At 39.3% G+C, this 22,936-nt stretch overlaps 1 protein-coding gene and 1 long non-coding RNA gene across 15 annotated transcripts in view, besides 2 other annotated features; one reads left to right on the top strand and one right to left on the bottom strand.

The window, feature by feature from the left end:
- IQCH-AS1 (IQCH antisense RNA 1) overlaps positions 1-22,936 on the top strand; it is a 118,234-nt gene that overhangs the window by 871 nt on the left and 94,427 nt on the right. For 2 of the 5 annotated variants that reach the window (NR_040051.1, NR_040052.1), the window contains exon 2: positions 1,872-1,974. This is a non-coding gene — a long non-coding RNA (IQCH antisense RNA 1). Of the gene's footprint in view, positions 196-1,871; positions 1,975-5,713; positions 6,055-22,936 lie in introns of those variants that run through there. The other 3 variants (NR_040055.1, NR_040054.1, NR_040056.1) reach the window with 3 other exon arrangements.
- Positions 177-256: an enhancer, noted in NCBI's record as "active region_9629". NCBI's record gives its function as "activates an Ori minimal core promoter by ATAC-STARR-seq in GM12878 lymphoblastoid cells {active_cell/tissue: GM12878}" and the evidence as "EXISTENCE:reporter gene assay evidence [ECO:0000049][PMID:35858748]".
- Positions 18,905-19,079: a silencer, noted in NCBI's record as "fragment chr15:67794233-67794407 (GRCh37/hg19 assembly coordinates)". NCBI's record gives its function as "represses an EF-1alpha promoter that drives an FKBP-Casp9 reporter gene in an ReSE screen in phorbol 12-myristate 13-acetate-treated (for megakaryocytic differentiation) K562 erythroleukemia cells {active_cell/tissue: K562(+PMA)}" and the evidence as "EXISTENCE:reporter gene assay evidence [ECO:0000049][PMID:32094911]".
- IQCH (IQ motif containing H) overlaps positions 19,170-22,936 on the bottom strand; it is a 247,019-nt gene continuing 243,252 nt past the window's right edge. For all 10 annotated transcript variants that reach the window (NR_147832.2, NM_001031715.3, NM_001322475.2 and 7 more), the window contains one exon: positions 19,170-20,341. Coding sequence is in view for 7 of the 10 variants with exons in the window: in NM_001031715.3 (NP_001026885.2) it covers positions 20,228-20,341 (114 nt within the window). In the remaining 3 variants the exon portion in view is untranslated. The remainder of the gene's footprint in view (positions 20,342-22,936) is intronic.

Raw genomic sequence — 22,936 nt, 5'->3', positions numbered from 1 at the left:
AGGGGAGGGATTCGGGGAGGTCTCATCAATTTGGGCCTGAGGAAAATTCAGGTGGAAGACAATTAAATAACTAACCACCTCCGCAAGGTGCAGAACTCAAACCCAAGTCTCCCTCCCACGCCCTGGGCTCCAGGGAAGCCCTTGGGTGTTGTTGTTGAAACAGGACGAGGCGTGACCCCGGGTCTGCGTTGTTTGGTAAGGCCGGGAGCACTTTTGTGTGTAGGTCCTCGCTGTCGGGTTCACTGTTTAAAATTAGTCCCAGAGATTTCAAAATCAAAAGTTTATTTAAAAACCTCACGTGTCTCAGTGCAGCGTCCGAACACACAAAGGCACCTCCCTCTAAGAACCTGGTAGACGGACCAGGAGCCTCTTATCGAGCTTTGTGGACCTCAGTCACCCATTACCAATCCATTACTTTCGGAAAAGCTTTGCTCAAACTTTGCGGCCTCTTGAGGCAGTAACTTACGGACAAAACTGCTTTTAGAAAAGGATTTCCTCTTTTGTCCTAAACTCATTTTGTTTGGAGAGGCCATACATAAACAAGATGATGTGTCTGAAACCACCTTATGTAAATGAGGTACAGTAATTACGCGTTAAGCATCATATAACAATTACTATCGTTGCTAAAAACTCAAGGGGGATGTAGGATAGTATGGCGAAATTTTATATTCCCCAGTTTTTTGTTTTGTTTTGTTTTGTTTTTTTGAGACGGAGTCTCACTCTGTTGCCCAGGCTGGAGTGCAGTGGTGCAATCTCAGCTCACTGCAACCTCTGCCTCCCAGGTTCAAGTGATTTTCCTGCCTCAGCCTCCCGAGTGGCTGGGATTACAGGCGTGCACCACCACGCCTGGCTAATTTTTGTATTTTTAATAGAGACGGGGTTTCACCATGTTGGCCAGGCTGGTCTCAAACTCATGACCTCGTGATCCACCTGCCTCGGCCTCCCAAAGTGCTGGGATTACAGGCGTGAGCCACTGCACCAGGCCTATTCCCCAGTTTTTATTGAACATTGAGCACCCACCAACATATGCCGAATCTTGAACTTTACCTTACAGAATTTGAAGTTGAACTTTACCTTATAGAACTTGAACTTTATAGAATTTCTTTTTCTTTTCTTTTTTTTAGAAAGGATCTCACTGTTGTCTAGGCTGGAGTGCAGCTGCTCGATCTCGGCTCACTGCAACTTCTGCCTCCTGGGCTCAAGAGATCCTCCCACCCTCAGCCTCCCAAGTAGCTGGGACTGCAGGTGTGTGCCACCTACACTCGGCTGCTTTTTTTGGTATTTTTTGTAGAGGTGGAATTTTGCCATGTTGCCCAGGCTGGTCTTGAACACTTGGGCTCAAGTGATCCGCCCGCCTCGGCCTCCCAAAGTGGTGGGATTACAGGTGTGAGCTTCTGCACCTGACCAAATTAAATTTTGAAAAAGAGTGGAGTCCTTTTTCAAACGAAATCTGTTGAAGGTCCCCAACATATAAAGTTGGTTAAAACTTATGCTTTAGGCCGGGCACGGTGGCTCACGCCTGTAATCCCAGCACTTTGGGAGGCCGAGGCCAGTGGATCATCTGAGGTCAGGAGTCCGAGACCAGCCTGGCCAACATGGCGAAACCCTGTGTCTGCTAAAAATAGAAAAATTAGCCGGGCGTGGTGGCACATGCCTGTAGTCCCAGCTACTCGGGAGGCTGAGGCAGGAGAATCACTTAAACCCAGGAGGCAGAGGTTGCAGTGAGCTGAGATCGTGCCACTGCACTCCAGCCTGAGCGACAGAGCGAGACTCCGTCTCAAAAAAAAACAAAAAAAACAAAAATAACTTATGCTTTATTACTAAGCATAAGTTCAAACTTTTTTTAACTTTTTATTTTACTTATTTTTTAGGCGTGGGTTCTCACTATGTTGCTTAAGCTGGTCCAGAACTCAAGCCAGTCTCTCACTTCAGCCTCTTGAGTCGTTGGGATTACAGAAGCCACCATGTCCAACTGTAAGTTCAAATTTTTTATATTAACTTTATAGATAAAAAACAAAACAATGAAACTTCAGTGTGTTGTTGTCTTGGATTTTCTTTTGTTTTGAGCAGAAAGGGGATTCATTGGAGGAAAATTAGGTAGCCCAAATAGTAAACAAGAAGTCTAGAGAACCAGGCTCAGAAAATGGGAAGGAACGAGGAGAGTCCGAACAGCAAAGACATAGATAAGACCAACAGGAACTAGTCTGGCGAGCATGCCATTGCTGGCCCCACTGCCACAGGACTCTTGATCCTGTTGCTTGCAAAATGTTGAAGCTGGGGGTTGTGGTTGTGAAAGTGGATCCTTTGAATTGAGTTGTTCTTATCCCCAGCTAAAACAGTGGAAAAGCCAGGGGGAGAAAGCACTCAGGACATATGACATTACTTTAGAAATGTAGTTCTCGGCCGGGTCCAGTGACTCACGCCTGTAATCCTAGCACTTTGGGAGGCTGAGGCGGGCGGATCACGAGGTCAGGAGATCAAGACCATCCTGGCTAACACGGTGAAACCCTGTCTCTACTAAAAATACAAAAAATTAGCCGGGCGTGGTAGCGGGCGCCTGTAGCCCCAGCTACTCGGGAGGCTGAGGCAGGAGAATGGCGTGAACCCGGGAGGCGGAGCTTGCAGTGAGCCGAGATCGCGCCACTGCACTCCAGCCTGGGCGACAGAGCGAGACTCCGTCTCAAAAAAAAAAAAGAAAAAAAAAAAAAGAAATGTGATTCTTTGCAAGTCCCCCTGCTGAAACTGCCTGTTGTGACCTGAGACCAGTTTTATCTGTAACTGCTGAGATAACTTGCTGCAACTCTAGGACTAATTCTTCCCACTGCCATCCCTCACCTATTGGAGCTTGCCAGCCCCTCAGAACCTTACTAGTGCCAATGAACTTTCTCAAAGAGCACTATGTAACATTTTTCTGTTTTATAAAAGCTCCAACCTTCTCTTTGCTCTTCAGACATATTGAAGACCACCTGGTCTGTGTGTATATACCAAATTGCAATTTTTTTCCGCAGAAAGCTGTTAAATTTAGAGATTAATCTCTATATCTTTATTTTAACTTCAACATAGTTGCAGTTACAGCAGACTCAGTATCCAGTTTATTTCTGCATCTTCTGTTTTGGTTGTATACTATCAAGAAAATTCCGATTTCTTCAGAGAATTAGATACAAATAAGAGTGATTTTTAAATTATGCACCTTGAAATCTGGCCATGTGCTTCAATTACAAAAATGGCAGCAGGAGATTAATTATGAGATCTACACTGAAATGACTTAACCTAAAATTAATGTGTGGGCAGTTTGCAATATGTTAAATTTTGGCATTATCTCTCTTTTGGCAATATAAAAATCTTTTTTTAAAAAACATGACATTTGAATTGAACATGTGCAGAACCCCTGAAGTATGTCTGAGAAACCCTAGGTTCTGTGGCATATGAGATGAAAACCACTGACAAAGAGAACCAGATATTACATATGTTCACTGCATTTTCACATCAAGAAGGCTTGGGAAAAGGGCTAGCAAACTGAAGGACTTCTGTTGGGAGCAGCTCTCTTGGCTAGACCTCGTCAGCAGTGAGGGTTTCTCTTAACCTGAGGCTCTTTCACTATCTCCCTTTCTTTTCTATTCTAAGGTAGAAAGTTCCCCCAAAGAGAGACGAAAATGGTGGGCCACACCCCATATTTAAGAGTGTTTGAATGAAACATTCCCCTACCTAAAGATACAGAGATGGAGAAAATAACATCTCTTCTGACTTTAAGATTATATGGTGCCACTTCCATAATTGAAATAAGATAATTTCTCAAAACAACAACAAAAACCAACCCGCAACTCAGATCATATGCTTGATTTTCTTTTCAGTTCCAATTCTTCATGGCTGTGAAACAAAGAGGCCTAGGGATGTGTGCGAAGGTTGACACTCAAAAGACTAAGTCTATGTTTTTAAAAAAATTGTATCCTATAATTAAGAAAGCATTAAATACGTTTTTCCACATAGCATAGAGAAATGGCATATCTCTTAGAAGGAACCCCTTAAAATGATTATAAAGACCGATACTGTGTACAGCATTTAGCATGTGCACAAATACTTCATGCTGCTCCTAGAAGGGACTTTGCACTCCTGTTTTTGTTTTAAAGGCATGTAGAACATTGTAGGTGCTTAGAACATATTAAAAATGAATTTTAGGCCGGGCGTGGTGGCTCTTGCCTGTAATCCCAGCACTTTGGGAGGCCGAGGCAGACAGATCACCTGAGGTTGGGAATTTGAGACCAGCCTGACAAACATGGAAAAACCCCATCTCTACTAAAAATACAAGATTAGCCAGGTGTGGTGGCACATGCCCATAATCCCAGCTACTCGGGAGGCTTAGGCAGGAGAATCGCTTGAACCCAGGAGGCAGAGGTTGCGGTGAGCCGAGATTGCACCATTGCACTCCAGTCTGGGCAGCAAGAGCGAAACTCCATCTCAAAAAAAAAAAGAAAAGAATTTTATAAAATTGATAAATTGGGATATATTAAAATTAAAATTTTTTATTCATCAAAAGGCATATTAAGAGAATCAAAAGGTAATTGTTAGAGTGGAAGAAGTATTTGCAATACATATATCTGAGAAAGCATTTGGGTATCTAGAACACACTCATACAAATCATTAAGAAAAAGACGATTCAATAGAAAAATGAACAAATATTTTAATGGACATTTTATAAAGGAGAATAATCAGTGGTCCAATAAACAGGTGAAAAGTGCTTGATTTCAATAATTATCTGAGAAATAGAAATTAAAAACCTCAATGCAATACCATTACACACCTACTAGAATGGCTAAAGTAGAAGAGACAAAATACTAAGTGTTGGTTAGGGTTTGGAATAATTGGAACTCTTATACATTGCTGGCCCCCATTTAGGAAAAATTTTTGACAGTGTAGTACTATATATATAATAGCTGAATATAGGCGTGCCTTATGACCCAGGCATAACACACCTAGGTCTGTATTGGTATTTGTCTGCTTGGGCTGCCATAACAAAATACCACAGATTGGGTAGCTTAACAGAAATTTATTTCTCACAGTTCTGGAGGCTAGGAGGTCCAAGATCAAGGTGCTGGCCAATTGGGTTCCTAATGAGGGTTCTCTTCCTGGCTTGTACATGGCTGCTTTCTCACTGTGTCTGTCCTTGCATGGTGGAGAGAGAGCTCTGCTGTCTCTTCCTATTTATTTATTTATTTATTTATTTATTTATTTATTTATGGTTTTGAGACAGAGTCTCATTCTGTTCGCCCTGGCGTGCAGTGGCACCATCATAGCTCACTGCAGCCTGGAACTTCTAAGATTCTCCTACCTCACACTCCTGAGTAGCTGGGACTACAGGCACACACCACCATGCTCAGCTATTTTTATTTTTTTATTTTTTTTGTAGAGATGGGGGTCTCACTATGTTTCATTTATATATGGTGTAAAAGCAGGCAAAAACTCATCTATGCTGTTAGTGTTAGAAGGCAAGACAGTGATTAGTTACCCTTAGCGGAGTGGGGCTAGGGGGAAGCCCGTGATTAGAAGGAACATGAGGACTTGATCCTTTCTTGATCTGGATCCTGGTTGAATGAGTGTATTCACTTTGTGAAAATTATTTTAACTGTGCACATTTGATATGTGTATCTTTCTCTTTCTTTCCTCCTTTCTTTTTCTTTTCTTTTCTCTTCTTTTCTCTTTTTCTCTTTTGAGGCAGGATTTTGCTGTGTCACCCAGGCTGGAGTGCCATGGCATGATCATGGCTCACTGCAGCCTCTACCTCCCAGGCTCAAGAGCTCCTCCCAGCTCAGCCTCCCAAGTAGCTGGGACTACAGACGCATACCACTATGCCCAGCTAATTTTTTGTATTTTGTATTTTTTGTAGAGACATGGTCTCACTTTGTTTTGCAGGCTGATCTTGAACTCCTGGGCTCAAGCGATCCTCCCACCTCGGCCTCCCAATGTGTTGGGATTACAGGCGTGAGTTGCGGCGCCCAGCTGATATGTATACTTTTCTATAGGTATATTACACTTCAATAAAAAGTTTGAAACAGAAAATGAGTTCTACAGGTAGTACTGTATATTAACACATCCTATTGTTAGCGTTCATTAAGTATGTGCAGAGAACATGTCACTGTGGACTTGACCCAGATCTGATCCTGTACATGTACCGAATAGTTATTCTCATGTTGCTTTTCTGATCTTACTGTGAGATCCTGATTTACTCATATATTTCTAAGTGTGATTTAAAACAGAGTAGAGTGGGGATGTAGTATTCAACTCACTGCTTTTCCCAGAGGGAGAAGTATAGGACAGTTACTGGGTGCCTATGTCAGCATGTTGGTAAAAGATAAAGGAACTATGAAAAAGAGATAGAAATGTTTACATTTAGGATTTTATTTTAAATTTCTACTTTGAGGCCTAAGGACCTTTGGTTCCAGGAAAGAAGGACCATGGAGAGGATGCTGTCCCATTCATATTCCAGAATGCTTTAGAACTTAAAAACAGATACTCACAGGAGCCACAGACATGGGTTTTCGAGAAACCCAAATCTGCTTAATGGCTCAGTGCCCTCTAAGCCATGCTCAGCACCAGAAGAGATGGCTTGAGAGACCCTTGCAGCTGGATGAATGTTCATTAATTCTCCCCCCTCCCACCAGTGGCAAATGCCACTCACTGCTCCGCTCCTGTATCCTTGTGTTGCCCTGGCAAAGACAATATACATTGGCTTTATGCAGAATTATCCTCATGGAAGTACTGAGTTATGGCAGAAGTCATTAGGAAAGGAAGGAGCTGCTGTATTCTTTTCTAGATCTTCTTGAGTCCTTCTGTGGAACTGATTGATGTTCTGAAAACCCCCAAGGAGCAGGCTGGCAGCTCGGGCTGCTGTTACAGAGTGGCAAGAAGAATTACTCTAGTAAAGCACTTCACTGTTAACATAGTGGGTACAGACTTCATCCAAAAGCATCTTGTATCTCAACTACTGTCGGTGTCTGTCTTCACTGGAATGTAGACTTCCTAAGGCTAGGGATTTATGTCTGTTTTATTAACTTTTGTGATCCCAGCGCCTAAAACAGTACTTGGCATATGGAAGGCACTCTACTTGTTGAATAAATGAGGGGTATGGGGGAAAGTGGGTAAAGTGAATACAATTAGTACATTTGAAAGATGTCAGAGAAGGGAAATTACAATATGTAGGGTCAGTGGTTTTAACTAAAATTTTAATTTTGATCGTTGGAGAAATTAAACTACAGAATAGGTAAAAAACGTATCCAAGGTCATATATCAGAATCAAGACTAAAAATCCTGTCCTCCTGGCTTTCAGTGTGCTTTTTGTTAGGAAACAGTTCTACTCCTGAAGCTGTCCTCTTAGGTTTAGCAAGAGTTCTGGACAGAAATAGAGCTACAATTAAGCATTAATCAGGCTGCTCTTTGGCCCACTTCCTTGTGACTGAAAGTCACACAGCACTACGTACTGACCACTTGCATCCCCACTGTTCCCATAGATGGGATTTCTGACTTCAGAATCGTAAGGCTTTTCTTTAAGAATTGCTTAAGATGTTTTTCAGATCTCAAATTCCAGTGAAACAGCTGACACCAACCAGTTTGAACCTCCACAGAGGAACGGAATCACCATGAGAATCCACTTTCTTCATCTTTCTGTCTCATGGCTTCGCCCTGCACTCTTTGACCAATCAATGTTCTCCACACTTTGGTCTGCCCTAAAACCCTTAAAAACCCAGCCCAGCCACGACCTCCTAGGTGAGACAAATTTGAGATTTCCTCCCATCTCATTCTTTCTCTGCTACACCCTGGTGTCTTGGTGTATTACCTTGCTGTGCACATCAGGCAGTGAAACAATTATGGTTATACTCCCATCTCCTGCTGTGAGTGCTGATGCTCTGGAATCTGGAGGCAAGGAAACATATTCATGACTTTTTTTTTTCTTTTTCGAGTTAGGGTCTTGCTCTGTCACCCAGGCTGGAGTTCAGTGGCGCGATCTCAACTCACTGCAGCCTCAATCTCCTAGACTCAGATGATCCTCCCACCTCAGCCTCCTGAGTAGATGGGACTACAGGCACATGCCACCACACCCAGCTAAGTTTTTTATTTTTTATAGAGATGGAATTTCCATATGTTGCCCATGCTAGTCTTGAACTCCTGGGCTCAAGCGATCCTCCTGCCTCCCAAGATGCTGAGATTTTGGGCGTGGGCCACCCTGCCCAGCCTATATTTGTGACTTTTAAAACCTGATAATGACATATGCTGATAGTAACAGTCCATTTTATGGGCATGTTTCCAATATCACAAATCCTCATATGTTGGGGGAAGTATTGTGGAAGTATTTGAAAACATAGCCAAATAAATTCACCTTATCACATGGGTCGTAGTTATGATTCCATCTTCATAAAGTGAGCCTTGTTTTATCAACAGATACATTCATGAAAAGCATGTGACATTTTGGTAACATGAATAATATTTTCACATCTAATCCTAAAAACGTTTTGGCTTCATTGCTGATCTTCAATGACAGTGGCTCTTAGCCCTTTAGGTTTAAGTGTCTCTGCCCCCTCCCATACCCCATCTCACTGTCAAGTAGTTAATGATCTATAAACAAATACTGAAATGCCCTAAGGGGGCCCTCCATTTAAACAGTCGTTGAATCATGTGATAATGGAAATACAGTAGTCCACCAGCTGATTTATGATTTGTCAGTTTAGGTTTTTGAAGTGAAGTTCCACTGGTATTTTCAGATGGTGGAGGTTTTTAATTTACTGCACAATAACACTAGACTTTCTCTAATTTTTTCTTTCAGGAGAAAACTTTCAAAAACGTTAACCTGCCTTTGCAGCTTCCATTGTGTGAAATACCACTTTGTGTGTGCACATTTCAGTTTCTTAAGCAAAAAGTAGCTACAGAGGGTATTAATCTCCATGTAATGATATCTACCAGTTTCTGGGTGTTTATGTTATTCTAGGTGCTTTATAGCTACTGTCTCATTTAAACAACACTCAAAGCAAAGTTTCATTTTCTTCATTTTCAGGCTGAGGAAATGAAATGTCAGAGGTCGGAGAGGGTGATGTGGTTATTCACAGTCACAAAGCAGGCAGGTGGTGGAGCTGGGATTTGAACCTGTAAGAGCTGGACTCAAAAACCCATGCTTTGAACACAAAGACTCAGGAAATAGCATTCTAGACCCAAAATACAACCCTCTTAACCAGAAATCTGTCTGGCTGAAAGGAAATTTGGGGGCATGCATGATGACTCAAAAAGAATGACTTTTTTTTTTTTTTTTTTTTTTTTTTTTTTTGAGATGGAGTTTCGCTCTTGTCCAGGCTGGAGTGCAATGGCACAATTTCGGCTCACTGTAACCTCCACCTCCCAGGTTCAAGCAGTTCTCCTGTGTCAGCCTCTGGAGTAGATGATTACAGGCATGTGCCACCACACTCAGCTAATTTATGTATTTTTACATATTTTTAGTAGAGATGGGGTTTCACCATGTTGGTCAGGCTGGTCTCAAACTCCTTACCTGAGGTAATCCACCCGCCTGGGGCTCCCAAAGTGCTGAGATTACAGGCGTGAGGCACTGCACCCGGTCAAAAGAGTGACTTTCAAAACTAGATTACTTTTAAAAATTGATGTAAAACAACTATTTCTATGTATATTGAAAAGTACTTTTAGATTATCTTTAAAATGGAAAGCCATGTGCTAATAAGTTTGGACACCCCCAACAAAGGTCCCAAATGTAAGTAAATTATCACACTCTAAAACTTGGGTTTGATTTGGGGAACCTGAGGAAAGCGTATATGTGGATTCTTTGGACTGTTTTTACAACTTTTCTATAAGCCTAAAATTTTATTCAAACAAAAATGTTTAGTTTTTAAAAGTTAGGTTTTAACTTAGAGAGCATCTGGCTGCAATTGGGGTGGGTATGAGTAATGCTGCTGCTATGGATAATATGCACATTAGTCCAAGCCAGCATCTCCGTGAACCACAACTTGGGGTTCAGCTTCTTTTTTTATTTCTCATCGTTATTCCTAATAAAGCAAGATGTTAAAGCTAACTACGTGCTCTATTAATTATATGAAGGTGAACTTGAGTCATATTTGTTACTGAAGATGATTAATAATTACCAGTTCTGTGCACGTTTCTGGTGCATTTCAGTAAATAAACAGGGTACATTGTTGGGTAGTAATTGATTAATTAGCACATTCATCCTACACAGCTCAATGGTCTAAGGATGCTGAGTTTCAGATATTGCTCATAATTATTACAAGAAACAAGTCTGTTTCATTTCTCAGTTTATTCTTCTGTACACGAAGTTTTTTTTGTTTTTGTTTTTTCCTAAATCGAATGCTTAATGGTTCAAAACCTTTTAGGTTTTCTTCAGATAAATCAACTCATGAAAAATTGCTAGTCATAATCACAGAATCTTATTTTTGTGTGAACTAGGGTGAAAACTTTTACAAGGCTAATTTTATCACGGGATCTTGCTGTTAAACTGGATCAAATACTGCAAATATAGGGCACTTCCCCACCATGCAGGAAATGCTCATTGAGCACCTATGTGCAACAGGGGCACTGGAATCTCATTTGCTTCCCAACCACATCAAATAAGCTCAGGATTGCAAGTGTCATCAGGTTGGCACTTTGCAGCACCAAGCAAATATACTGAGTAATCTTCAGAGAAGGATAACAGCATGCATCGGTCGCCATTTTAACTGTGCAGCAAGTTACGAATTTCATTCTAATTTATTGAGCCAGCATGCAGTGGAGAGACGGAGTAGTTGCAAGAGCTATGGACAGGGAGTCAGGAGTCTTGGGTTCTTATCTCTGTTCTTTCTTGAAGAAGCCATGTGACTGTGGTCACATCACTTCCCCCTTCTCTAAGCATGGATCACTTATCTATAAAATGAAGGCTTCAACCAGGGACTATGAGGTATGGTGAAGAGACAGGTAGACCTACCTTTGAGTCTGGACTCCCTACCACTAGTTATATTATTTCAAGGAAATTATTTAACCTGAGTTTCTGCTCTGTTTACTTGAGTTTATTGTAGGATCAAACAAGATATGAAAATACTTTATAAAGTACCATATGAATATGTGTTATTAATATTAACTTTCTTAACTGGTTGATGCTAACATGATATATATCTGGTGGATGTATCAAAATGCCCATGTACCGGTCTAACAATAGGGAATTTTTAACATCCTTTATGCCATTATTAAAATCTCACTGGGTAAGAATTTCCAGTGTATCTTGATAATTTACTGCTAAGTAAAAAACACAGTCTGTACAATATGTCTGGGATGATCCTATTTCTAAGTTTATATATGCAAAGAAAAAAGAATCTATATAATAGAAACTCAAAATGATAAAAGAATAAATGCAATATATATTAAGCAAGCAACTGTTACTACTGAGAGAGAATGTTCTAGGAGATATGTACGTGTATATATGTGTGTTTATATATGTACATTTGTTTATATACATACTTGTTTTTTTCTTTTGAGATGGAGTCTCACTGTCTCCCAGGCTGGAGTGCAGTGGCGTGATCTTGGCTCACTGCAACCTCTGCCTCCCAGATTCAAGTGATCCTCCTGCCTCAGCCTCCCTAGTAACTGGGATTACAGGCATGCACCACCACACCCAGCTAATTTTGTATTTTTAGCAGAGATGGGGTTTCTCCATGTTGGCCAGGCTGGTCTGGAACTCCTGACCTCAGGTGATCCACCTGCCTCGGCCTCCCAAAGTGCCGGGATTACAGGCGTGAGCCACTGTACCTGGCCAACATACATATATCTTTACATTTACAATCCGTTGAGTGAGACAGATAATTAAGTAACATATCTATTATGTGATATTACATAATACCACACATTGTTAATTGGCTTTGAAGAAAAATAAAGCAGAGTAAGAGAATAGAGAGTAATGGTGCTACTACTTTATGAGGGTGGTCAGGGAGGCCCCTCTGGTCTGGTGAGAGCTGGGCAGAGACCAGAATGCAGCAAGTGAGTGAGCCAGGCAAGCTGCGGAGGGAAGAGTGTCCCAGGGAGAGGGAATGGCAAACACAGAGGACCTAGGCAGGAATCATGGCAGATACACTCCAAAACCTTGACAGTGGTTATCTCCAGGTGGTGGAATAAAAATTGATTTAATTTTTTTTTCTTATGCTTTCCTGTTTTACAAAGTTTTTTTTAAATTTTTTATTTTTTATATGTTTTTGAAGAAGCTATGTTACACTATTTGTTTTCTGGAATGAGGGTACGTTTCCATAATTAGAAAAATAAAAAACTCTACAGGCATCCTGAAAGACAAAGTCATCTTAAGAAGAATGTTTATGAGTATTTTTGAAAGCTTATGTCATCTATAAGTTTTTGTTTTCATGTGTTAGTGCCAAGATCTTATGAGCCGTAGTGAGAATAAAAGCAGCAGAGAGGTTTCTGCCTTGGCGATGAAGTTCAAAGAAGTGTTTACACATAAGTTTTGGTCATAATAACAAGTGTGGTCTTTGTAGAGGGATATAGAATCATCTTGCTTTCAGCTCCTTGTCCAGACCTTGCTGCATGAATGTCAGAATACTTCCTAAAAAGGCTGTGCCTGCCGGCTGGTTGATGGTGCCCAGGAAACATGGTGGCATTTTAGGATGTCTTTAGAAGATGGGATTAAAGGTGTCAGGTAGAAATAGTTTCACCATTTTATTATATCTAATGTATGCAGTTCACCAGGGATTATATTGCAAGATGGAATATTAGGAAATGCATCTTCCATCTTTTTTTGGGTACAGGCAAATATTAAAGCTCAGAGACAGCACTGCAGCTACCCAGAGATGCTCTGGTTTGTACAGGGACAAAAATGCCCAGTTAAAGTTTCTTATTCTCATTTCTTTTTTTAATTTTTTTTTTTTTTTTGAGATGGAGTCTTGCTCTATCACCCAGACTGGAGTGCAGTGGCACAGTCTCGGCTCACTGCAACCTCTGCCTCCTGGGTTCAAGCGATTCTCTTGCCACAGCCTCCCGAGTAGCTGGGGCTACAGGTGACCGCCACCACGCCCAGCTAATTTTTGAATTTTTAGTAGAGACGGGGTTTCACCATGTTGGCCAGGCTGGTCTTGAACTCCTGACTTTGTGATCCACCCGCCTTGGCCTCCCAAGGTGCTGGGATTGCAGGCGTGAGCCACTGTGCCCAGCCTCTTATTCTCATTTCTATTTCATCTTTTTCCATCAAGATCTTCTAGTGCAGAAGGTATACATGACATCAGTTCAAATAAAAATGCTTTCAAAATAAGGTGTTTCCATCAGTTTTGTTGATTAACAATAACTGAGAGCTCAGTGCCAAGAATGAAACCCAAAAAATGAAGGACATGATCCCAGTGTAAAGGACGTGTTATACTTGGCTTCATATGGCTCCCTTCCATAAGAAAAATGTGTTGCAATGAACTATTCTAAAATGATGCAATATTTTGCAACCATTTAAAATCATAGGCCTTTTGGATAGTAGATGGGGGCGTTTAAGGGGCAAAGTATTTTCAAAATATTTTCATCCATTGTTTCCAATAAATGGAAGAAAGCTGGAAGAAGAAACCACCTCCTTGCATGATATATAAAATTTTGGCTGGGCGCGGTGGCTCCTGCCTGTGATCCCAGCACTTTGGGAGGCCGAGGCGGGTGGATCGCCTGAGTTCAGGAGTTTGAGACCAGCCTGGCCAACATGGTGAAACCCCATCTCTACTAAAAATAGAAAAATTAGCTGGGTGTGGTGGTGGGCGCCTGTAGTCCCAGCTACTCAGGAAGCTGAGGCAGAAGAATCACATGAACCCAGGAGTCAGAGGTTGCAGTGAGCTGAGCTCACGCCACTGCACTCCAGCCTGGGTGATAGAGTGAGACTCCATCTTAAAAAAATAAGAAATTAAACAACAGCAACAACAACAGCAATTCTGTCTCTTTTATATACATCGATGACGGTGGCATAGAATTGTAGAACATCAGAGCTGGAAGGAAGCTTAAATATCAGTTCCTCTTTCCTATTTTATGTATCAGAAACCTGAGAACTAAGGAAGAGAAATTATTTGTTTATTAAGGAAAGAGCTGAAACTAAAACCCATTAAGACATTTAAATCTGAAATAGATGTCATACATATTCCATACCCATTTAGAATACCTACAGATGCCACATAATCACTACTCTGTCCTTCCAAATATTTGCAGGTGAGTGGAGGCATTTGCCCTTTTATGCATTCTCTGTGGTATGGCACAGAGTTGATTAGGTATGGCAACAAAGACATGGTCTGGATGTGAATTCTAGAGTATTTAGACAAAGGGCATTACGCTTAGAATAAAAACAATAGTTTTCATGCTATTGAAAACATTTTAAAATATGTTTATTTAGTAATAACATTTTATTTTAATGAATATAATTTCACTTATAACATATTCTCCTAATACACGATTTTTAAAAAACAGCTTTTTGAGGTATTATTGACATTCATAAACTGCACATATTGACAAAGATTCTCTCCTTGACTAAACTCCAGCCAGGCTCCTCCCAGCCCTCTTCTTGACCAGGCCTTAACCTTGGCCTATGAAGACTTGAACAAACATTAACATAGTTTCTAATAGCTCAAGGCTGCAAGCCTAAGATGACCCTAGCACCCTCTTAAAATACCTGCCTGAGAAAACTCCAGGCTGCAAAAAGAATACTTTCTTGTAGCCAATCCTAAATTAGGGCCCCCGTCTCCCAGTCTCTGTGGGAGGATAGGAGCCTAACTTCTGTGTCAGTTAGCAAAACCAGATGAGTTTCACATGAACCAACCCTGCTTCCTGGTTTTTATTTCTCACTTCCCTACTCTACCGAGCAGCCACTGTCCCCTCTTCTATTCCCTCATTCTCCCCTTACAATGCCCAGTCACCTCTCTAGAAATTGAAGTTGAATTCAGTTTACACTGGACCCTTTTCCCTATTGCAATAGTGTATTACTGATTAAAATCTGTCCTTACCACTTTTACTAGTGTCCAGTCTTATTTATCTTTGACAGTATTTAACGTGTACAAGATAAGTTTTGACATCTATATATATCCAATAAATCATTTGTATGTCAGTATAGTGAAAATACCCATCACCCAGCATTTTCCTTCTGCCTCTTTGTAATCTTCTTCCTCCTCCTCCTCCTCACCCTATTCCCACCCCATCTCCCATCCTCAGGTTACTACTTAACTATAGTTTTTATGTTCTAGAATGTTAAATAGGTATGTACGTTTTTTGTCTGATTTTTTTCATTCAACATAGAGATTCTTCTATGCTGTTGATTTATTAATAGTTTATTTCTTTTCATTGCTCAATGGTGTTCCATTTTATGGATATCCCAGTATTTTTTAATTCACTCATCTGCTGATGGACATTTGGGTTGTTTCCAGCCTTGGGGTATTGTAAACCAAGTTGCTTTGGTCATTCCTGTACAAGTCTTTGTATGGACATATGCTTTCTTTTCTCTTGGGCAAATACCTAGGAGTGGAATGGCTGGGTTGTATGGTTGGTGTAGAAACATGATTTTTGAATGGCTGTATAGAAGTCTTTAATGTAGATATTTCATATTTTTAAAACAATACCCTATTATTGAACATTTAGACCTTTAGATTCTTCACTATTGTTGCAAACGATCTAATTTTTTGGCTTAGCAATGTGTTTATAGATATTCAACTTGGAAAAATAAAGCCCAAGAAAATGAAAAGCGTGGAAAGGGAATCTGGAAACAAAGAGCATGTTCCTAAATCATTTTGAGTTTTTCAATGATCGCAAAGTATTTTGTGTCCTCTCCTGGGAAACAAAGTGGCATGAATCTTTAAATGAATCAAAATTTTAATTTTGATTTGGAGTTTATTTCGCAACCAATGGAGGGTCTGCGGTTTTGCTGTCGAGTTTATGGGACCATGATTTCATCCTAACATTCCTTATGAGGCGATTGCAGTAAACTTGGGTGTGGCCTTTTGTTTCTGGGAGCTATAATTAGCCATCTGGTATACTTTATAACAGTTTGTTAAATAAAAAAATCTTAAAATGTAGCATTTTGCTCACTTCTCTCTCTCCTTTCTGCCTGTGTGTGTGTGTGTATGTGTGTGCATGTGTGGTGATGCACATGTATATGGTGACAATTGTAAAAGTGAAACAAAATGTTAATGGCAAAGCTATATTTTTCTGTGCTATATTTAGGGTCTTCTTATAACAAAAGTTGTTTTCACCAACAGATTTTTAAACAGCAGGGACATGCTTATTATTTACTGTTTTGTTGTCTTTCCCTCATTTACATAAATACCCCAGAAACCAGCAGTTTAAAACTAATAAAAGCCAAGGCCCTCCATCAACTGCAATAAAGTTTCACAACCATGAGTTAGACTGTTAGAGTGAAAAATAAACCTATATATGTAGTTATGAAGGGTTTTTTTTTGGAAAGTGTATAATCACATTTCAAAGTTAGAACTTCCATTTGAAGTAGCCATGTAATAATAATACTTAAACATTTATATAGAACGCTTCATCTTTGAAACACTCTCCCAACATTGGCCAATTCATCTCGACTGCTTCCCTGAGGAGCAGGTACTATATGCTCTGCCATTTTTCTACTTAGAAAATTGAGGAAAGTATGACCAGGCCCGAGACAGAGAGGGCTGGGGAGACCAGTTCCTGGCCCTTATTATTCTGTGACTCTTTGGGATGTAATTCCTAACAGCATGCCTCAAGTTTCTGTTCCCCACTGATGAAGTCATTAATAAAACAATGGTATAAATAGTAGCTCTATCGGCTTCAAGCTCTTAGATGCAGTCCTGAGCTTCCTGTGGCACACCTCTTGGAAGGAATGATATGTGGAGAAGATTCAGAAGAGCCCATTGCGATGGGTTGATCCAAACTTCTTCCAGCGAGAAAAGTGTAGTCGAATGCTTCCCCCGTCCCCCAGCTGCCACCCTCACATTATCTTGGCAACTTCATTTACGGTTTTCCAGATGGGATTTACCATGATTAGTACATTTAAAGAGTTGCACAAATTTGTTATGCACATTAAAGCCAGAGGAACAGTAAAATAAAACTAATGAACATTTACATTTTTGGAAATATAATTAATGTATGCTTGAGAAATTCTGAAAGATAAACATTTAAATGTTAAAATACTTATTACCTTCCCACAGGGACAGTGTTGGGAATTAATGAGATAACAAATGTAAAGTGCTTTGAGCTCTTTGGAAGAAAGGTGCCAAATGAATACAAATGATTATTAATTGTTAAAGCTATCAGATGGTTACTAACATATTACTTGTGATAAAATACGTATTTTTATACTTAAAAAATAGGACGCTTACAATTCTTAGGATGACATAGCTGAAATAATTCTCCCCAAACTCCTTCCAGGCTATTCTACATTTTGTTGGAAGCCTTTCCCAATGCTTCTACGATTTCTTAACCTTATACCCATCTCTCGAAACTTCAGGGCATGACTTCCCAGCTTCCAAATTCTACGCCTTTCCAACATCATTCTCCACCAGTCTTACAGATCCATCACCATAGGAGAATTCCACTGACACCATTTTTTTCTTCTGACTTTGATCACATAATTGCAGTGCCTTGCCATGCTGTCAGTTGTACAAGCTCATTTCATTAGCAGGAAGTATGCATAAGTTAATCTGTTTTTTTCTATGTTTTAAGCAACACACCAGAATTTGTTATTCTAAAAATGTGCAAATCCCTTGGATGATCTGGGACAAGTGAAACTAAACCCTCTACTTTGTACAACATGCTGGAATTTGTGGTAAAAGACAGCAAATCCCAAATTTCATTTAGCCTGAGACATAGGGTGAGACACTCTGTCTCAATTTCCTCATATATAAAATGAGAACAGTTGTTGTACCTACATGCGTGGAGTTTTTGGAAAGATGCAATCAAATAATGTATATGAAGCTTCCAGCACAGTACATCCCCAGCCCCCAGTTTGTTCTATAGGTAACTGTAAGTAGCTTACGGAAAGGTCACTAAATAGGTAGGCAGCACAGGTGGGCAGTAGCACATTTAATATTATAATCTCATTGGTTTCTTTAAAGTCCATATAAAATAGGTAATATATTAAGGGAGATACTTATATCCAATAATGCTCTCCAACCACTGCAAACATTCAACATTAAATAATGGGTCATTTCTCATACAAAGACACCTCTATTGTTTAATGTGTGCTTCTCCCAAAAACTTCCTGGAAAACGGTATATCATTTCCCCAAAATCCTCTTGCCACCAAATATTTCGGTTTCCTATTTAGAAGAGCAAAAGCTCAGTAATTAATTCATCGTGACTAAATTATATTTAGGATACTTTAGATATTGTACACATATAAATGATTCTTTTTTGAAACGTGCCTTAGTTTACCAAGAGCACAGTATCTATGTAACATATATGTGTTAAAAGATAATGGACTATTGCTTCTTTTCAAATGTTCTGTAATTAAAACATGTCACTAATTTAATCTGGTCCTCTGGCTTCTTCCACTTAATTACTTGAAGTGATTGTTTTATTATACCAATTTTTCTCCTTTAATTTTGAAGCTGTAGATGTTTACGTAGAGAACCCTGCTCCCAATCACTTTCACAGGTCTGAATTCTGTGGTATATGCAAATGATAGCTGCAAAGGAGGAAAGTGGCATTGTTTGAGAAACCAATCAAGTGGGTAAAACAATGGTGTAGGATGGCGAAATCGTTTCGCTATTGCCAGCAGCTTGAGCTTCGGGAGTGCTAATCAAAATTCACATGCAAAACTTTCCGATAGATTTAACAGTTTTGTACTGTTAAGCAGGGGCTCTCACCATGTGAATGATCCACTACTGTGCCGAACAAAACGGAGACAGTTTTCTTTTAAAGTCCAGAGCAGATGAGAGCCATAAGGAGACAGAGGGTTTCATTTACTCTCAGGACACGATTGTGCCAGTGAACTAATGAGTCTCTTGGACCTTATGTTGCTCTGGCTTCAGTCGAGGCGCGGCTCTAATGGGCATGTAGGACTTCCTATCTGTCAAGTGTCTGAACAATGGGCCCCTCGAATGGATTAGAGAGATCTGGCAAGAAAAAGAGGTCAGTGTTGTACCTAGCACAGGCAGGAAACCTGGCTAATTAATGTATTTCCAACTATAGCAAAACAAAAGCTGACACACACAAATGTTAATTTTATTACAGAAACTCTTAGCCTGTGGCTGAATCACAGTTAACAAATTATTGAAATTCCACAGGTAAAAATCCTATTCCTTTCCCCAATACACTAAAATATTTTTATAGACATAAAGGTCATTCTTTAAAACAATAATGGTTTTGGTGTTGTAATTTGCTTTTATTTCACCCTTCAGTAAAGCTCACTGATGTGGAAATATTTTTGGACAATTATGAAGTGAATGCTGAAAGTTAGAGTCAGCACTACTACAATCTTAACAGTCTGCCTTTTTAAAGGTAGTATAATGTTGAACTAAACTTGAAAAAATCCTACTGCTGTATTAAATGGAGAACTAGAGAATACAAATGTTTATTCAAGCTACAGAGCTCGAGCTACACTCCATCTTAAACTAAGAGCAGATACTGCCACCTAGATACATTCTGATGCTTTGGTTAACTAGATGCTGGCTTATCCTACTTTTTGAAAAATGGCAACAATAGCAGACAATAGTGGCTTGGTATAACAAAAACACGATGAATGATAGTCACTTAAAAATTCATATAAATATAATTTCAATATAATTTGAAGCTTTGAAAAAAAGGCATTTGTGTTTTGACAAATAGCAATTCTTAAGCCTTTATTCAAACCTATAAATGCAGAAGATCGATGGACTATTAGAAATAGGAGAAAACTTTATAAAACATAAAAAATAAAAGCTACATAATCCTGAGGCCTATGAGGAAGTAAATGCGGAGGTGATATCAGTAAGACTTTTAACTTTCTTCTTTTATCAGATTACTTTTTTCTGAGTTTGAGAAGAAGAAGGGATTGTTCAACACTCTCAAATGAAAACACAAATAAGTTTTGGTTTAATAAATAAAATAAGATCACTTAATAAACAATGTTTTAAAAAGAGCATTTCATTATAATCTGTTCTGATTCACCTCCTAGCACACAAAGCAAACCAATTTCCCCTGGCTTTTATTTCTAACAGAAAAAAAAATTGCCCTTTTTATTCCAGACTGGGATCCAAATTGTTATGTACTGTATTCCAGGATCATTTCTTGGGTTTAGAGAGGTTTTTATCATCTTTGGACTGTTGCTCCTCTTCAAATCTCATTTTGTTTTCCTTTGTTACTCTTAGAATAGTTTCAATATCAGCAATGGTGGTCTGTAAATAAAGACAATATTTATTACTTAAAGACCTCTTACAATCCCTCTCCCCCAAGCATCTGGTCCTTTTGGGAGTTCACCATGGTTTAGACCAGTTCTATTCAGAATGTATTCTACCAACTGGCATTTGTCTACAGATTATGGCTTACCAGTCTTGCTGAAATGAGTAAAAAAATTGAGAGTAAGAATTTGGAAAACTTTTTAGAATTTTTATGCCTATTATGTCTAATAATAACATTGGGCTTCTAAATTGTACATCTTTAATTTTTTTAATCGTATTTTTCTAGTAATTAAATTTTCTTCTATTTTGTTAAAAATGTTGATCCATGATAGTCAGATAAAATCAAAACAAAACAAATAGTTTCCTTATTATGGATAATTTGAGAAGCATTGGTCTAGTCACCCTAAAATGAGGGCTAATAGGCTGATGGGAAGGTTTCTTTCCATTGGTTGCTGGGAAGAAAAAAATGACACATTCCCATTTACTTTGTTTATATTTTATTGAAGTACAATTCCCATACCATAAAATTCACCCTTATAAAGTATACAATTCAGTGGTTTTTAGTATATTTGCAAGTAACCATCGCTACTATATAATTCCAGAACATTTTCATCACCCCAAATAGAAACTCTGTCCCCATTAGCTGTCACTCCCCATTTCATCCCACTCCCTCAGCCCCTGGCAACCACTAATCTATTTCTGTCTCTATGGATCTACCTCTTCTGCACATTTCATATAAATGAAACCATACAATATGTGACCTTTTGTGAATGGCTTTTTACCTAGCATAATGTTTTCAAGGTTCGTCCATGTTGCAGCATGGATCAGTACTTTATTATTCCTTTTATAGAGGTGAATAATATCCCATTATATAAAATATTATCCATAGAATATAATAAAATTCAGTTATTTCTTAGTCGATGGACACTTGGGTTGTTTCTAATTTTTGGCTATTATGAATATTCCTTCTATTAACATTAATGTACACATTTTTGTGTGAACATGTTTTCAATATACTTAGACATATACCTAGAAATGGAATTGCCGGGTCATATGGTAATTTTATACTTAATTTTTTTTATAAACTGCTAAGCTTTACATATCTGTGATACCATTTTAAATTCTTACCAGCAATATATGAGGGTTCTGGTTTCTCCGTATCCTCACCAACACTTGTTATTGCCTTTTTATTTAACTGTAGCCATCTTATTAGGTATGAAATGTTTCATTGTAGCTTTGATTTGTATTTCCCTAATAACTTATGATGTTGAGCATTCTTTCATATACTTATTGGCCATTTGTACATCTTTTTTTTTTTTTTTTTTTTTTTTTGGGACAGGTCTTGCTCTATCACCAAAGCTGGAGTGCAGTGGTGTGATTATGACTCACTTCAGCTTTGACCTTCTGGGCTCAAGCAATTCTCCCCACTCAGCCTCCTGAGCAGCTAGAACTACAGGTGTGTGCCACCATGCCTGGCTAGCTAAAAATAAGTTTTCGTGGAGATGAGGTCTCACTCTGTTTCCTGGGCTAGTCTCAAACTCCTGGCCTCAAGTGATCCTTTCGCTTCAGCCTCCCAAAGTGCTGGGATTACAGGTGTGAGCACTGCAGTTGGCCTGCATATCTCCTCTGAAGAAATGTCTATTCAAATCCTTTGCTCCCTTTTAAAATTGGGTTATTTGTCCTTCTGTAGTTGAGTTGTAAGAGTACAAGAGTACTTTGTATATTGTGAATACTATGCCTTACCAGATATATGATTTGCAAATATTATTTCCCTTTCTGTGGTCTGACTTTTTACTTTCTTGATAGTGTTCTTTGATGCACGAAGTTTTAAATTTTGATGAGGTCTGATTTATCTATTTTTATTTTGGTTGCTTGTGCTTTAGGCACCATGTCTAAGAAACTATTGCTAACCCAAGGTCATGAAGGTTTATACGTATGTTTTTTCCTGAGAGTTTTACAGTATTAGCTCTTACATTTAAATATTTGATCCATTTTAACTTATTTTTTTTTTTTTGAGACGGAATCTCGCTCTGTCGCCCAGGCTGGAGTGCAGTGGTGCAATCTCGGCTCACTGCAACCTTTGCCTCCTGAGTTCAAGTGATTCTCCTGCCTCAGCCTCCTGAGTAGCTGGGATTACAGGTGCATGCCACATGCCTGGGTAATTTTTATATTTTTAGTAAAGACGGGGTTTTCACCATGTTGGCCAGGCTGGTCTCGAACTCCTGACCTCAGGTGATCCACCTGCCTCGGCCTCCCAAAGTGCTGGGATTACAGGTGTGAGCCACCGCGCCCGGCCCATTTTAACTTAATTTTTATATATGATGTGAGGCAGAGGTCCAACTTAATATTTGCATGTGCCATTTATTTAAAAAATATTTTTTCTCCATTGAATTGTTTCAGCACCCTTGCCAAAAATTATTGGCCATTATGTATGGGTTTATTTCAGACTCAATTTTATGCCATTGATCTATATCTCTATTCTTATGCCAGTACCACACTGTCTTGATTACTGTAGCTTTGTAGTAAGTTTTTAAATTGAGAAGTGTGACTTCTCCAACTTCGTTCTTTTTGAGATTATTTTGGTTATTCTGG

This window comes from Homo sapiens, chromosome 15 (assembly GCF_000001405.40).
Source record: "Homo sapiens chromosome 15, GRCh38.p14 Primary Assembly".
In the NCBI taxonomy this organism is placed as follows: Eukaryota; Metazoa; Chordata; class Mammalia; order Primates; family Hominidae; genus Homo; species Homo sapiens.
The sequence above is the reverse complement of the archived record's forward strand: the minus strand, read 5'-3'. Positions and strand labels throughout refer to the sequence as shown.